Source organism: Homo sapiens, chromosome 3 (assembly GCF_000001405.40).
Source record: "Homo sapiens chromosome 3, GRCh38.p14 Primary Assembly".
Lineage (NCBI taxonomy): Eukaryota > Metazoa > Chordata > Mammalia > Primates > Hominidae > Homo > Homo sapiens.
Window position 1 is genome coordinate 164,401,519 of NC_000003.12, and position 18,335 is coordinate 164,419,853.

The 18,335-nt window shown below is 36.7% G+C and overlaps 1 long non-coding RNA gene across 1 annotated transcript; it reads left to right on the top strand.

Moving 5' to 3' along the window:
- Positions 1-943: 943 nt before the first annotated feature.
- On the top strand, positions 944-18,130 carry LOC105374190 (uncharacterized). The gene is made up of 3 exons (XR_924658.3): positions 944-1,048; positions 16,930-17,085; positions 17,885-18,130. It is a non-coding gene; the product is annotated as an uncharacterized LOC105374190 (long non-coding RNA).
- The last annotated feature ends 205 nt before the right edge of the window (positions 18,131-18,335 follow it).

Consider the following 18,335-nt stretch of genomic DNA (forward strand, 5'->3'; position numbering starts at 1 on the left):
AGCGGGTTGCCACTGCTGGCTCGGGCAGCCTGCTTTTATTCTCTTATCTGGCCCCACCCACATCCTGCTGATTGGTAGAGCCTAGTGGCCTGTTTTGACAGGGCGCCCATTGGTGTGTTTACAATCCCTGAGCTAGATACAAAGGTTGGTGCACTCACAAACCCTGAGCTGGACACAGGGTGCTGATTGGTGTGTTTACAAACCTTGAGCTAGACACAGAGTGCCAGACTGGTGTATTTACAATCCCTGAGTTAAGACATAAAGGTTCTCCACGTCCCCACCAGACTCAGGAGCCCAGTTGGCTTCACCCAGTGGATCCCGCACCGGGGCTGCAGGTGGAGCTGCCTGCCAGTCCCGGTGCCGTGCGCCCACACTCCTCAGCCCTTGGGCCGTGGATGGGACTGGGCACCGTGGAGCAGGGGGCGACGCTCGTCGGGGATGCTCCGGCCGCACTGGAGCCCACGGAGGGGGTGGGAGTCTCAGGTATGGCGGGCTGCAGGTCCCGAGCCCTGCCCCGCGGGAAGGCAGCTAAGGCCTGGCGAGAAATCAAGCGCAGCGCCGGTGGGCTGGCACTGCTGGGGGACCCGGTACACCCTCTGCAGCGGCTGGCCCGGGTGCTAAGCCCCTCAGTGCCCAGGGCCGGCAGGTCCGGCGGGGCTGGCTGGCTGCTCCAAGTGCAGGGCCCGCCAAGACCACGCCCACCCGGAACTCCAGCTGACAGCGAGTGGGAACGCAGCGAGTGGGAACGCAGCCCCAGTTGCCACTCACGCCTCTCCCTCCACACCTCCCTGCAAGCTGAGGGAGCCGGCTCCGGCCTTGGCCAGCCCAGAAAGGGGCTCCCACAGTGCAGCGGTGGGCTGAAGGGCTCCTCAAGTGCCCCCAAAGTGGGAGCCCAGGCAGAGGAGGCCCCGAGAGCGAGCAAGGGCTCTGAGGACTGCCAGCACGCTGTCACCTCTCAAAACCACCTCACTTGGTTGTAGGAGGTCATTGAAGATTGCCTGGAGGAAGCCATGTTCAATGGGCACATTTGTAGAATGATGTGAGCCAGGTACGTGTGTGTCTGTGTGTGTTGGGGTTATGGAGAAGGGAGTTTGGTGTAGAGGGGTAAAGTTTAGGAGTTTGTAAGTGTAAAGAAAAGTGGTTTAGACACTGGAAGTAGAACGTTAATCAACCAGATGATGAAAATGGATGTATTAGGTTGTTGCAAAAGTAACATTTTATAATAAAATTGACAGAAAACAAGCAGTCGTTTAGAATAAGAGATGGTCATGATCGGGAAGAGATGAGGCTTGAAAGGTGAGAAAAGGTGGATTGACTTGATCTTTAGATAACATATATTTAGGTAACATATAGATATAATTTGGAGACTTATTTGAATGAAAGGGGGGGTGGAGGTAAGAAAATTTATTTATCAAAAAGACTTTCAGATTTATGGCTGGAGGTGGATACCTTTTCAAATGCTGAAATGAAAAGAGTTTCTGTGGGGATATAGTCAGGTTTTGGAGATGTTAAGAGTGTATGTGTGGGGATACCTGGTAGTTTTTGGCATTTCTATTATAAACAGCATGAAACTCAGGGCAGACATATCTTTTGGTGATAAAGTTTATGAGAAGGACAACTTTTCTGTGGATTCTGATGGTATGTTACTCAGAAATATCTTTCTCAGCAGTATTCAAGCTGGAGTAGCATTTCAAAATTTTGCTTTTAACAGATGTCAATTACCATTAAAGCCAATTTCACATTAGTTGATGAATTTAAATTTTACAGTATCTAATGCATGGGCATCTGTTTCAACTCTCTGTTTTTCAAGAGGTAGTATATGTCTGAAAAATCTATTTTGTCATTTATGCTGCAGTCGGAATACTTGGAGCCTGGAAGTAAAGACTTGGCTATTTTCACAATTATAATAAATGATTCATGAGGGAAATGTTTCTATCTTTCAACATTTATCCTCTGCTATTTTAGTGTTCTTGGTGCATAAGAGGAGAATGCATTTACTAGAAGACATAGTGATTGTTTCATGGAGCTGAAAGACAGACACCTGACCATTTTGGCTCTTCATAACCCAGAATCAATAGGCAAATAAAGGCTTTACTATGATCCTGGAAGGATTGATCCAGATTCTTAAGGGACCCTTATACAATGGGTTGAGTGTGTCTGAAACTCAGAAACCTTCCAAAGAGGCTCCAACTAGCATGTCTCTTGTGGAAAATTGATGTCAGATTACTATTACACAATAGTAGGATTTCCAAAAGTTTGACATATGCAGGAATAAATAGTTGGTGCATCCCATTTGAAGAATATTAACTGACTGAGGTTTTACTCAAGGAAAAGGACACATAAAATGTGCAGTGAAAGAAAGAAATTATAGATACAAAGTACAGCATTGTGGCCTGTTACAAAAAAAAGGATTTTATTTGCTACCCATACTATATTGTTCAGTCTGTCATCTGTCATCTATCTGTCTATCTATCTATCTATCTATCCATCCATACATTAATCTATCTTATACAAGTCCTTATTTCCTTCTCTCTCTAATATTTTATGTTACATACAGGTCTTGGTGGTGAATCATTTTTAAACTTAGCTCATTTAATATAGAATATAAAGATAGGAATATTGATTTAATTATGAAAGGAATGAGTACCACTCAGAAACAGGTATACTAATGGTTGGAAAGTTGGATCCTTTCTCTGCAGGTAGAGGGTAAGTTCTTCATTTTTATGGGGCATAAGTGTATTATGTTGAATGGGAACATATTCTCACTGCTGGTGTTATTGTTTGTGATTTTGCATATAAATAGAAAGGCATGTTAGGATAATTAGTGGCCAGATGGGCCAGGGAAGTGTATAGCATTTACCATCAATTTCTTATGGTGAACTGTCTAAAGTGCTAAATATGGAAAACTAAGAATTGCATTACTCTAATTTTCTTATAACTGAATGAATGTATTTTATTTTTATTTACAAGATGTAGTTGTGTAAAATACTGTATATGAAAACCGTGTTTTCTGAGACTTCTGCAGCTTCAGTTGGTAAGTCCTATGATGGAAATGTTTGCATTTCTGATGTAGCCTTTGGATTGTGGCTACTCACTCTTATGACTGGTTCATTATTGTGAAAGCAAATTCCAGTTCCCTTGATAACCCAGTTCTATAGTGTAGGTTTTAAACAACATCTGCATGCATTTTGCAAGCCATTTAATACCAATGATAAATTCCTTATGTTTGAACTAGCCAGAGTGATTTTCCTTTCTTGCAGTAGAACACTGATCAATACAATGGAGATATCAAATAAGGAAGCAAGTTTATTTTACATCTTTCATAATTTTTATTTTTGAAAAAGGAGGACTTCTGAGTTTGATATGAGCAAAAATTCTGGCATAGTCAACACCATTTGAGAATACTAGAAGTCAAAGAAGAGGGGAGAGACTTCTTATTTGGTATTTAGCCATTTGTAGTCCTGGGTAGTTATAAATTAACTCTACCCTGATCATATTGCAGGTCCTTCTAATTATGCAGATAATTGTTTATGGAGTAATTGGTTAATAATAATATGAGAAGTTATTAAAAATGATACCTCCTCTTTCCATCTTCCTCCTTATGTACATCATATTGTAGATGAATCTGTTCTTTTCTAACAGTAAAGGTAAAATAAGGGAATACTAGTTAATAAATATGTCAGGAAAGGCAATTTGGGCGACTTTGGTTCATTGAAAAGTATCATAGTATGAGAGCATTTTCCTAAAGTGTCAATGTATTTCAAATAGAATATTAAAAAGAATAAATGCATTATTGACAGAACAGGGACAGCATGGAGTAAACAGAGAACCCAGCCATTTATTTCATTCTTTTAATATTTGAATGAGCTTAGTACTTGTATTTTTGAGAAGTAAATGGATCCTGAGTTTTTACTGACACAATTTTGTACCTAGTGCTACTGTAACTTCTCACAAAGACCCAAAATTATGCTGTGCTAAAATGCCTACTATTATCTCTCCTTCCTTATGACACTGAAAGAGATGTTCCTCAATCTTTATGTGGACCTCATGGACAGGAATAGGAGACATACACAGAGACTTATTACAATACGAAAAAAAATAAAAATATTTCATTTTATAATGGTAGTCACCAAAAAGTAGTATTTTAAGTAAATCATTGTGCTTTGTGGGCATCAGATCCAGTCTAGCTGGTGCGAGTAGTAACTGACTGAACTGTCAAGCTTTTTACTACATGTCACTAAAGTATTTCTGCATTTATTACAAGCCTATGGTGTATAACACTGAACCTAATCAGCAAAAAATAGTATTTTCTACTATCACCTTATTGAAAAGTCCTGGAACTCACAAAATAACATTCTTTAAAAATATTTCTTTAAATTGATTCCCCACACCCACCTTAGGAAATGTTGTGGAAATTAACTCATATTACCTCTTATTAACAAGAAACCACAAAAAACTAAGCAGAATGAGGTTAAAGTAAGAAAAACTGAAAGAGTCAAAAATAATTTTCAAAAAAAGTGGCTCCAATTAATATATTTTCCAAAGCCTGGTTTATTTACACTAACTCAGACTGGTCTTTAGAATACCTATCTTCCAGTGTCCAAAAAGAAGCTCCAAAAAGGAAATGTAAATTTAATTTGCCAAGGATATCACGGGGTTAATTTAAAGGGGCAAAGGAGCTGCAGGCTGCTAACTGAGGTAGAAAGCAAAGCAACCTGCTCTTTAGAATATGGCTGGGTGCCTTATCTTAGTTTTCTGATAATTGCCTTGCTTTGGACAAGATTTTGCTTGTCCATTTATTTATTCTGTTAGGATTTACCTGAGCTTATGTCCTGCACGAATTTGAGACAGTTTACAGAATTAAATACAATATGAAACAAGGAAATACATTATTTTTAAAAAAGAAAACATGCTTGGATTCCTGGCCCTGGTCCTTCCCATATCCAGTTTCAGATTTGTCCTTGACTTAGGCATTAGCTCCACTTCATTTCCTACTTAAAGGGAAATAGGAGATCCCGGATTCTTGAAGGTAAGAAGTGCCCAAGTATCAGATACAGGCCTATTGAGGTATTGGAAATCTGAGAAGAGCATCTTCGCATTACTTTCTATGTGACTACTTAGTAATCTAGTTTTTTGCTATATATGAGGTTGCTATATATAGGGGCCATGGATCCAGAGTACATAGCTAGTGTGAGTAATAACTGATTGAAGTCAATCAAGTTTTGACTACATATCACTTTAGCCTGGAATCCTACCTGCATCCTAACCTTCACACACTAATTTAATTTATCAGATTAGCAAATAAAATATAGGATACCAGTTAAGTTTGATTTTCAGATAAGCAACACATAATTTCTTTGTGTTTAATTATGTCCCAATTACTACATAGGATTTTCCTTAGAATCTCAATTACCTCTTTCATCAAAGGATTATACTTACACACACTTGGCAGGATTGTTATAAGAATTAAGAGAGAGAATGTGTTGTATGGGACCTAGTTATACTAAAACAATTATTCTCCGTTTACCTGAGAAACAAATTTAACTGGGCATTTTCTATCTTATCTGGTAACTGTATGCTAACTTCTAAAAGATTTTCCTGGGGCCATTATTACCTACTGTATGTCCCAAGTTGATAGCTATCAAAGCTTTCTAGCTGTGACATACTTGCTTTCTTTTTCCTTTCTGGTCTTCACTAACTTAGGTGAGTTGATTACTTCCCATTTCTGTGAGTGGCTCCCTCTCAATAGTGTGACCTATGTCTCTATATGAATTTCCTGGACTTGCCTGCAGTTTTCTGTGTGGCTGGTATTTTCCCAACACGCCCAGTCTCATAAACCTCTCCCATCTGGCCTGTTACTACCACTTCACTGACATTAAGTCCTAGTTTTGTTTGGGGCAGTTCTATTAAAAGCAGCGAATAAATATGCAACATCTCCTCGGTTCCAGGTATTGTGAGAGAGATTCTGCAAATGCAAAGAGGAACAAGCCATGAGCTCTATCATCAGGGACCTCAGAATCAACAAAGAAATAGGCATTAGAGTGATGATAATATTAATAACTACTTTTTTTTTGGGTATTTAGTACAGGCCAGAAACATTTTCTTCCTTGATTCTGGAGCAACCCTGCCAATCATGTGTAAATATCACCTCTTTAAGAGAGAGAAAATTGAAATTCTGAGGATAATCAATTTTTCTAAATAAACACTTTCAATGACAGAACTGGAATGGGAGTCCTGATCTCTCACTCTAGATCGATCATACATTGCCCTGGCCCAGCCTCAACAGAACCCTGTGCAGATAGCTTCTTGTGCAGATAGCTCAAAGGGGCTTCCTCAGTTCTAGGCTTTACATGACATTTCAGCTCAGCTGCTCACAGCTGTCTTGAAAATAGTCCCTGTTTCCAAATTTCACCTTTCCAGGAAGGATATTGATTATCCACGTCCTATAAGACATAGTATTTTGTTCTCCTGATGATGAACTCCCTGGAATTAGCTGTCTAACTTTGGTTCTTAGGAACTGGGCTAAGGAAGCACAAGGTTTAAACAAATGTGGCCTCTTGGCAGGCATTGTGAGCGAGAGGAAGGGCAGATTTACTGCAAGGAGGACAGGAACATTCCAAACCATGTCTAGTGAAGATGTGTTTCTAAATATGGAGGCACTGGGAATTTTAGGCAGCAGCACTGGTATTTCAAGAGGAACATAAATTCAAAAGTTGCTAGTTCAAGAAATTCCTCGGTAGGTGTGAATTCACAGGAGTGAGAAGGTATCTTTACATCTCTGATGACCTGCTCTAAGGAGCCCGGGTATAGTTCAGTTTCAGAAAGTACTAAAAGGACTTAACTGATACAAGCAATAGAGCCCAGGTGCAGGATCTTTCTCAATACCTTTTTTTATATGATTGGATATATAGTCCAATTAGTGCAAGCCCTTGAGATGACTAATATTTTACTAGTGTCAAACTTCCTTTTAAGCTTTTATTTAAAATATGCTAAGTATTCCAATAAATAAATACACATGGCACAAATAATACAAATGATGAGACATCTTGGAATGTGGTGACATAGTAGTATTCTATTCTATGTTGAGGCATTCTAATCCAGAATCTGAAAATAAAAGAACAGGTTATTCAATATGTAAACATTACTTTTTAAACACTTTTCAAATTATTATATACCTCCTTTTCACTGTCTCGTAAATTCACATCAAATCTAGCTTAATACAGTATCTCTCTAACCAATATTTTTCCTAACATAGAGGCATTGTCAAAAGAGGAAAAAACAAAAGGCAGGTAACTAATTCAATGAATAGTTCCAAGTACTGGTACTGGTAGAACACCTTTTCTATACTTTGTGTACACGTTGAGGCTAAAAATATTAAGGGAATGAACAGGAAGAAGATTATGTAAGCACAAAATATATGCATATACAGGTAATATATACACACCCATTTGAAACAAAATAAGATTATTCCCTGTAAATATTAAAAAGCTTTCTGAGACTATGAGGTAGTGATAGCAATGAACACAAGACTACATGTTCAAGCTGTGAATTTATGAAACAGATATCACATGTAAGAATTTTAAAGAAACTGAAAAATATGTTTTTTGGCTATTGGTGCTCTATTTTTTTCCAGGCTGCTGCTGACAATTACCACCATCAGTTTATAATTTTATAAACTGCCACTTTATAATTGCTAAGCATGAGAAGTTGTCCTTAACATTCTCCTCCCCAGGTTGGTTGAGAAAACCAAAGCTATCAAGGCTAAGTGAGGGCATGTCTGGTTATCACACCCGAATCTCAGAGCTTGAACTGGCTTGCCCAGGAGTCTGGGAGAACAGCTTTGCTGATTTGACAATACATAAGAAAACCTTCCAGAAATTACAATGTAAAAGTAAGTTTTATTGTACCTGATTGATGGATCTCAAATACCTGCTAAGTTTAATAGTCAGACAGACATGTCTAAAATGGATTTTGAAAGTCTGGCTATCAGCACTTTCAAACGGATCAAATTACAAACAAGACACAAAATTTTCAGGTTGGCCAGTTTGCTAACTAAGGTTTTGAAGTTAATTGAAATTTTTAAGTTAACTAATTTCTCTCTCCCTCCTTCCCTCTGTTCCTCCTTTCCTCTCTTCTTTCCTCTTTTTCTTTTTCTTTTCTTTTCTTTTCTTTTATTATTATTAATTTTTACTATAAGTTCTGGGATACATGTAAGAACATGCAGGTTTGTTACATAGGTATACAGGTGCCCTGGTGGTTTGCTGCACCAATCAACCCGTCATCTACATCACGTATTTCTCCTAACACTATCCCTCCCTTTGCCCCTCACCCTTTGGCAGTCCCCGGTGTGTGATGTTCCCCTCCTTTTGCCCATATGTTCTCATTGTTCAACTTCCACTTAGGAGTGAGAACATGCAGTGTTTGGTTTTATGTTCCTGTGTTAGTTTGCTGAGAATGATGGTTTCCAGCTTCATCCATGTCCCTGCAAAGGACATGAACTCATTCTTTTTCATGACTGCATAGTATTCCATGGTGTATATATACCACATTTTCTTTATCCAATCTAACAGTAATGGGCTTTAACATTAAACATTAAAGTAAACATTAAACATTAAAGTAAACATTAAACATTAAAGTAAACATTAAACATTAAAGTAAACATTAAAGTAACAGTCTTTGCTTTTGTGAACAGTGCTGCAGTAAACATACTTGTGCATGTGTCTTTATAGTAGAATGATTTCTAATACTTTGGGTATATACCCAGTAATGGGATTGCTGGGTCAATGGTATTTCAAGCTCTAGATCTTTGAGGAATCAATACACTGTCTTCCATAATGGTTGGACTAATTTACACTACCACCAACAGTGTAAAAACGTTCCTATTTCTCCACATCTTCTCCAGAATCTGTTGTTTCCTGACTTCTTAATGATCACCATTCTAAGTGGCGTGAGATGGTATCTCACTGTGGTTTTGATTTGCATTTCTCTAATGACCAGTGATTATGAGCTTTTTTTTAAATATGTTTGTTGGTCACATAAATGTCTTCTTTTCAGAAGTGTCACTTGATATCTTTTGCCCACTTTTTGATGGGGTTGCTTGTTTTTTTCTTGTAAATTTATAGATTCTGGATATTAGCCCTTTGTCAGATGGATAGATTGCAAAAATTTTCTCCCATTCTGCAGGTTGCCTGTTCACTTTGATGATAGTTTCTTTTGCTGTGCAGAAGCTCTTTAGTTTAACTAGATCCCATCTGTCAATTTTGGCTTTTGTTGCCATTGTTTTTGGTATTTTAGTCATGAAGTCTTTGCTCATGCCTATGACCTGAATGGTATTGCCTAGGTTTTCTTCTAGTGTTTTTATGGTTTTAGGTCTTACATTTAAATATTTAATCCATCTTGAATTAATTTTGTATGAGGTGTAAGGAAGGGATCCAGTTTCAGTTTTCTGTATATGGCTAGCCATTTTTCCCAGCACCGTTTATTAAATAGGGAATCCTTTCCCCATTTCTTGTTTTTGTTAGGTTTGTCAAAGATCAGATGGTTGTAGATATGTGGCATTATTTCTGAGGCCTCTGTTCTGTTCCGTTGGTCTATATATCTGTTTTGGTACCAGTATCATGCTGTATTGGTTACTCTAGCCTTGTACTATAGTTTGAAGTCAGGTAGAGTGATGCTTCCAACTTTGTTCTTTTTGCTTAGGATTGTCTTGGGTATGTGGGCTCTTTTTTGGTTCCATGTGTGAGATTTAAAGTAGTTTTTTCTAATTCTGTGAAGAAAGTCAATGGTAGCTTAATGGGAATAGCATTGAATCTATAAATTATTTTGGGCAGCATGGCCACTTTCATGATATTGATTCTTCCTACCCATGAGCATGGAATGTTTTCCCATTTGTTTGTGTCCTCTCTTATTTCCTTGAGCAGTGGTTTGTAGTTCTCCTTGAAGAGGCCCTTCACATCTCCTGTAAATTGTATTCCTAGATATTTTATTCTCTTTGTAGCAATTGTGAATGTGAGTTCACTTATGATTTGGCTCTCAGTTTGTCTATTATTGGTGTAAAGGAGTGCTTGTAATGTTTGCTCATTGATTTTGTATCCTGAGACTTTGCTGAAGTTGCTTATCAGCTTAAGTTTTTGGGCTGAGATGATGGGGTTTTCTAAATATACAATCATGTTATCTGCAAACGGAGACAATTTGACTTCCTCTCTTCATATTTGAATACCCTTTATTTCTTTCTCTTTTCTGATTCCCTGGCCAGAACTTCCAATACTATGTTGAATAGGAGTGGTGAGAAAGGGCATCCTCGTCTTGTGCCTTTTTCAAAGGGAATGCTTCTATCTTTTGCCCATTCAGTATGATATTGGCAGTGGGTTTGTCATAAATAGCCTTATTATTTTGAGATACATTCCATCGATACCTAGTTTATGGAGTGTTTTTAGCATGAAGGGGTGTTAAATTTTATTGAAGGCCTTTTCCGCATCTATTGAGATTATCATGTGGTTTTTGTCATTGGTTCTGTTTATGTGATGGATTGTGTTTATTGCTTTGCCTATGTTGAACCATGCTTGCATCCCAGGGATGAAGCCAACTTGATTGTGGTGGATAAGCTTTTTATTGTGCTGCAGGGTTCGGTTTAGCAATATTTTATTGAGGATTTTCACATCAATGTTCATCAGGATGTTGGCCTGAAATTTTCTTTTTTTGTTGTGTTTCTGCCAGGTTTTGCTATCATGATGATGCTGGCCTCATAAAATGAGTTAGGGAGGATTCCCTCTTTTTCTATTGTTTGGAATAGTTTCAGAAGGAATGGTACCAGCTCCGCTTTCTACCTCTGGTAGAATTCGGTTGTGAATGTGTCTGGTCCTGGACATTTTTGGTTGGTAGTCCATTAATTACTGCCTCAATTTCAGAGCTTGTTATTGGTCTACTCAGGGATTTGACTTCTTTCTGGTGTAGTTTTGAGAGGGTGTATGTGTCCAGGAATTTATCCATTTCTTCTAGATTTTCTAGCTTATTTGTGTACAGGTGTTTATAATATTCTCTGATATTGGTTTGTATTTCTGTGGGATCATTGGTGATCTCCCCTTTATCATTTTTTACTGTGTCTATTTGACTTTTCTATCTTTTCTTTATTAGTCTGGATAGCAGGCTATCTATTTTGTTAATCTTCTCAGAAAACAAGCTCCTGGATTCACTGATTTTTTTGAAGGGTTTTTCATGTCTCTATCTCCTTCAGTTCTGCTCTGATGTTAGTTATTTCTTGTCTTCTGCTAGCTTTCGAATTTGTTTGGTCTTGCTTCTCCAGTTCTTTTAATTGTAATAGGGTGTCAATTTTAGATTCTTCCTGCTTTCCCCTGTGGGCATTTATTGCTATAAATTTCCCTCTAAACACTGCTTTACCTGTGTCCCAGGGATTCTGATACGTTGTGGCTTTGTTCTCATTGGTTTCAAATAACTTATTTATTTCTGCCTTAATTTTGTTATTTGCCCAGTAGTCATTCAGGAGCAGGTTGTTCAGTTTCCATGTAGTTGTATGGTTTTCAGTGAGTTTCTTAATCCTGAGTTCTAATTTAATTGAACTGTGGTCTGAGATACTGTTTATTATGATTTCCTTTCTTTTGCATTTGCTGAGGAGGGTTTTACTTCAAATTATGTTGTCAATTTTAGAATAAGTGCTGTGTGGTGCTGAGAAGAATGTCTATTCTCTTGATTTGGGGTGGAGAGTTCTGTAGATGTCATTATGTCCACTTCCTTTTTATTTTCAAGTTTATAATTAGTGCTAGGAAGAAAACTGAGCTCCATACATAGATTCATCTCTTCTTAATTTTGTGTCTTTTCTTGGCAAGTTTTGTCTTATGTAATACCTAATAATTTACCATTGAGATCTTCCAGTCTCAAAGGGCTTTTCACAGAACACGTTTTCCATCAGTGCAGATTTCTAGCTGGTGGGTTTTACAATTGGACAGTGAAAATCTCTTAAGGAACTGAATCTTCACATTAATGTGGAGGTGATGCTGGGAGCTTATCACTGGGCTTTTGAGTTATATCACTGGCAATTTGTTGTAAGCACTTTCTCACTTAAGCTCAGGGCATATTCTTTTAGGAAAATCATTTAATCAAGTAGTGAAGCATGGTAGAAAAATAGCATGTTATATTCAGAAAACCATGTAAACCTCATTTAGTCAATTTCTGTACTCCAGATATGAATCCTTTTAAAAGAGCATTGAATATTAATAGCTAATACTTTGTTTGGATATCTCCACCGAATTCCTATAGATGACCAGGATTCTATTTTCAATAGCATGTTTGACAGAAGAAAAGAAAAATAGTTTATTAACTAAATTCTCAAATCTAATTTGCAGTGTATAATCAATAAGTTGTTTTGAAACATTGTGCATATAAAAGTGTATTCTTTGCACTTTTAACTTTTAAGAATTAATATTTAATTAGGTTATGCTGATTACCTTCAGAATAATTTTAGAGAAACACAAGTTTTTTTCTCGTAATAATATATTTCTTACTAATACTATTTGGAGGTGTGTTTTACAATTTTCAGGATACATTCTCAACATGTTCTCATTATAGAGAAAAATATTTTTTAAAAATCAGGATGGTATTTTTTTCCAATTACTTGTTTTTTTCCATTTCTATTTTCCCCTTTGCTTTTTTAAAATTTCAACTTTTATTTTGGATGCAAAAGATATATGTGCAGGTTTGTTACATGAGTATATTGCATGATGCTGAGGTTTGAAGTATGAATGACCCCGTCATTCAGGTAGTGAACATAATATCCAATAGATAGTTTTTCAACCCTTGTTTCCCTCCCTCCTTTTCCTCTCTAGTAGTCCCCATTGTCTGTTTTCTGACAGGATAGTATAATGTTAAATGCCTGCTTCTATATCTTGACTTCTTATGTATTCATTTCATGATTCTTTTTGGCAAGTTACTTGACCTCCCTATACTTCATCTATAAAGTAGAGAAAATATTACTTACCTAATGCCATTAATGTGAGAATTAATTTATGTATACTGAATATATTATAATTATATTACAACAATGCCCGGGATATATTAAACTCTTACTAACCCAGGTAGTATCTTCTCCATTTAGTTTATCAAGTGGAAGAGAGCTAATCTGGGGTCAGCTTGTCTTTTTATAACTACATGCTGATATTTGATGATGATGATAATGATGTTAATACCTTTCAATTTTGTTTGGTTAGAAGTAGTAGATCTTAAAAATATGTTCGGAACTGATATACACACATATCTTGAAAGAAGGAATGAAAGGAAAGATTTCATCATTGTGGGATTTGAAGAGGCAGAAGCAATGAATTAGACTGAAATTACTAAATAAAGCTCAAACCCTTAAGCAATACTACATTAGGTAAATGAAAGCATGAATGTGACTTACCCATATTTATAACAATGGTACAATATTTATACATTGTATATCTGGGTGGGCCAGCGAATACTTCTTGAAAGTAACACAAGAAGAATCATAATGATTAACTGTGATGGTTAATACTGAGTGTCAACTTGATTGGATTGAAGGATGCAATATTAATCCTAGGTGTGTCTGTGTGGGTGTTGCCAAAAGAGATTAACATTTGAGTCAGTGGGCTGAGAAAGGCGCATCCACCCTTAATCTGGTGGGTAATATCTAATCAGCTCCCAGCGAATATAAAGCAGGCAGAAAAACATGAAAGGAGTGATGGGCCTAACTTCCCAACCTACATCTTTCTCCCGTGCTGGATGCTTTCTGCCCTCAAACATCGGACTCCAAGTTCTTAAGTTTTGGGACTCAGACTGGCTGTCCTTGCTCCTCAGCTTGCAGCCTATTGAGTGACCTTGTGATCATGTAAGATAATACTTAATAAACTCATATATATATAGGACAGAACTAATAGGATATCTATCTATCTATCTATCTATATAGATATATATATACACACACACATATATATATTAAAACATAGGATATTAGAGAACCCTGACTAATACATTAACTAAGAAGGATACACAGCTATAAAAAGCAAGAGCATTCTAAGCAAAGTCAATACCAATCCAAAATTGTGCCAAGAAAGATGGTAGATCTTTCTAGAAATGAAGAGTAGTTTGTGAGAGTAGGGATGCATTTGGGGAGAAGGTTTAAATTGGAAAGGAAAATTAATGGGTCTCAGGTCCTGAATGTCTGATACATCGTGGTGCAAATTTTATCCTGAAGCGAGCAGTGATTAAATGATTTACAGTAAGGAATCGCTGATAATGTTTGCTTTTTCGGAATATCACTGTTAAAGAAATTTGAAGTGTATGATACTAGTGACAGGGAAACTAGGAAATAGTTGCGGTAATCCAAATAACAAATGAAAAGAGTCTGAGCCAGATTTGTTGGACAACTGAATTCAGAGAACAATGAAAGCTTGTATTCTAAAAATATATTTAAAATAATTAAAATAATTAACATTAGGCCAGGCGTGGTGGCTCACACCTGTAATCCCAACTCTTTGGGAGGCCAAGGTGGGTGGATCATTTGAGGTCAGGATTTCGAGACCAGCCTGGCCAAGATGGTAAAACCCTGTCTCTACTAAAATACAAAAATTAGCCAGGCAGTAGTGGTGCACGCCTGTAATCCCAGCCACTCCGGAGGCTGAGGCAGGAGGATCGCTTGAGTCTGGGAGGTGGAGGTTGCAGTGAGCCAAGATTGTGCCACTCCACTCCAGTCTGGGTGACAGAGTGAGTCCTTACCTTAATTAATTAATTAAAAAATAATTAATTAACATTAATATTAACAATATTTATAGGTTAGGTTAACTTGTACTTTAAAAATAAACAGTAAAGATTTTACATTGAAAAAGTACACACCTAGAGAGTAAGTTCACACAAATCTGGTTGAAAAGTTATGTTTTTAAGCTGGATTTTGCTCTCATGCTAATCAGTTTTGTGTCATATTGCTGTTTTTTATTAAAATTGTCATGTTTTTCTTTAATCTGTTTATGGACTTACAGAGGGGGGCTCATTTGCTTACTCTTGATGCTCTTAAAGGGTAAACAAAGCTCCATGTTGAAGAATTGTAGTGCCCATGGGGATATTCTTTACATAATACTTGGTTGCAAAATACTATCTCAGTTTAAATAGGACCACAGCAACCGCTAAAATGTGAAAGAACAACCAGCAATCCACATTCCATAGAGAGTCCAGGAAGGCTGTCTCTGGAACCACAGAAGGTGCTTAAACTCAGTCACCAAACCAAAATTGAAACAGATGCAGATGTAGGTTTGCCAGGGTCAATTCTTGAATCCTGAGAGCTTGTCAGAACCTTCCATTTACACAAGACTAGAGAAGAAAACAGGAATGACTGGATTTAAAAAAGACTAAAGGCCTTAACATCATGAGCTTCTTTTAATGGCCAGAACTGCAAATCACAGACTGCACATCACAGGATGATTGCCTTGCACTGTCAATTTGTAAGTTCTAATAGTACAATAAAGTTTTTCAGTGTTTTGTAACTCTTTTTAAAGGGAATTTACAAATATTTCATGAGCATAATTCCTTTGGAATGTAATACTCTTAGCAAAGCAGCTACTGTTTAATCTTTTTCAATCCTTGTGCAAAACTTTATAGATACACGTGAAACTCTTCGGCAGGCTGTCTGAGCTCTTGCCCTCTCAGAAAATGTGTAGAAGTTTTTCTTTAAAGTTGCACTTGCTGTTTTATTGAAGGAAAAACATCATAGACCCATACTTTCTGAACTATTTTTGAACTTTTGGTCACATTGGCCAAAGACCAAAAGCTTCAGGGACTTTTTTTTTTCTGGAAATGAAAGAGGCAAATTGCTAGAGTATGAGAAAAATTTAAAGACACTGAATAAGCAGTAATAATGTTGTTTAGGCAATATATAAAAAAGGAAGGGAGAAAAACCTGATTCGTTTTATCCTGGTATCCTAAAATCTTTATTGAGAATTTAAATTTAGATGATTCCTATTTATGAAGTGTTTATTGTGTGCCTTTATTGCAAGACTTTGTAGATATACTGCATAACTTATTTTCCACTAATCATTTTCATGAGTGTACAGAATAGAGTGGATAAATACATACCCATGATTACACAGCTACAAATATAAAGAGTGGAATTCGACACTAGGTCAGTCAAATGCCATAATATATTTATAGATAATGCAGTCAATATTGATTATCCAAATAATATTAATATAAGACAGTATGGTGGTGTAAGAAGAGAAGAATATAATACACAGTTGTGTGGATGATGATCTTGCCTTTGGAGCAATGCATATTTAAACAACTGTTATACTATGTTGAAGTGCCATTAAAAAACAACCAAAACAATGTTTAGATAAAATGTTTTAGACATTCAGAAGAGGGAAATGTGTCATTAGCATAGATGACAAATGAACTAGTCCCTAAAATATATTTAGCTTGTGAAAATGTGGATATCTGGAGGAAGGCTTCTCTAGGTGGAAAGATAATAATTATACAGAATCTTAGGTCTGGGAAATAGTATGGCATGTGTGGTGAATAGAGTTAGTTAGATTTGACCAGAGGAGAAGATGCATGGTGAGTGGAAATAAGATACAAAGTAGATTGAGCAAGATTGCAAAGGGCCTTCAGAGTCAAGGAAAGAAGTGTAGAATTCCTTCACAGGCCATTATGGCATTAAAGGTTTATGAGTCATATTATTACTTTCCTGTGGTGTAGTTACAGATATATTATCTATAAATTGTTCCTTTGAAACCATTCCTAGGAATTGTATTCTTTGATTCTTTTTCAAATCAACTTGTATGCAGAACCACCATTTATACAATAAAAAGTTTTAAGTGCCTCTTTTGAATGAATACTTGTTTGCCTCTAAGAAACACACTTTGGAAAGAAAGCCTTTGATATGGGACATATATTGTTTTCCTTGTGTTTCAGAGTATGGGGTACTGAAGCAGAAAAGGATGCCCTTCAATTTGATAGAAAAGCACTACATGAATCCCTGTAAGACTCCACAAATTAAACTAGGAGCTGTGTCAACCTGCTCTCTGTTTTACATCCATGTGGGAGGGTCTACGAGCACTCATGTGGACAGTAAGTGGGGGTCAAGTGCAGTCAGTACACCCTGCTGTTGGCAAGTGCCCAGAATAGCAGATGTTCCTTTGTATAAGGATGAGCAAACAGGAAAAAATCAACATGAGATCTATAAAAATTCTGCACCATAAAGAACCAAAGAGTATTACCCTGAAAAAGAATTGCAAAAATAAATCCTACTTCTAAAGATCACTTTCTAAACCAAGTAGAAAACTGGTCTGCTATGTTCATAGAAAGGTATTAAAAATGTGACCACTGATACAGCTGACATTTGTGTAGTGTTTACTATGTGCTACTTTTAAAACATACATACAAGTATGTATATATTTATAGAAATATATGAAGCTAGCATGTCACTAGTCTACAGCTTGATCATGTTTCTACAAACTGACTTATGTAATCAGAACCAGATAAATGGAACATTATCAGGCTCTACAAGTCTCTTTTGTCTTCCCTTTCTGTTGCTACTTATCCCTTCTACATGCTCACCAATGTAAATCACTCCTCTCCAACAGTGTAAATTAGCTTCATATGTTTTTACTTTTACATCACTTTTGTAAAGTGTAAGTTGAACTTTTTGCTCATTTTTTCCCTATTGGATTATCTGTCTTATGGATTTGCATAATCTTTTATAATGTACTGGTTACAAGTATGTTTGTTTGATGTGATGTATGTATTTTGAGTATCTTTACCACTCTTTGGGATGCCTTTTCACTCTTTTACTGGCCACTTTTGGTAATCCTAATTTCTTAATCTTAATATATCTGATTTATCTCTTTCTGTTTTTTGTTCACACTAGGTGTCTCTGTGCATCTGTTTAAGAAATTTTTGCCTACACTGAAGTCACAAGAATGCTCTCCAATGTGTTCTTTAAAAAGTCTTATAGCTTTACTTTTAACATTTAGACCCGTGATAAGTTTGGAATTATTTTGTGTTTACAGTGTTAGATAGGGTTATCTAACTAACACAATCATTTTTTGAAAATATTTCTGTACATGACTTTACTCTTGCCTTTGTAATAAATCATTTGATTATATAGGTATGAGTCTGCCTCTGGAATCTATTTTGTTCTATTGGTCAGTGTCTATTGTTTTAACTACTTCACAGACATTAAGCACCTTTATCCTCACAATGACACAGAAATAATTATTATTAACCCCATATTATAATTAAGGAAACTGAGGCAGTGAGATGTTAAGTAACTTGGCCAAAGTCACATTGCTGAGGCAACAGCAAATCCAGTCTTTTAA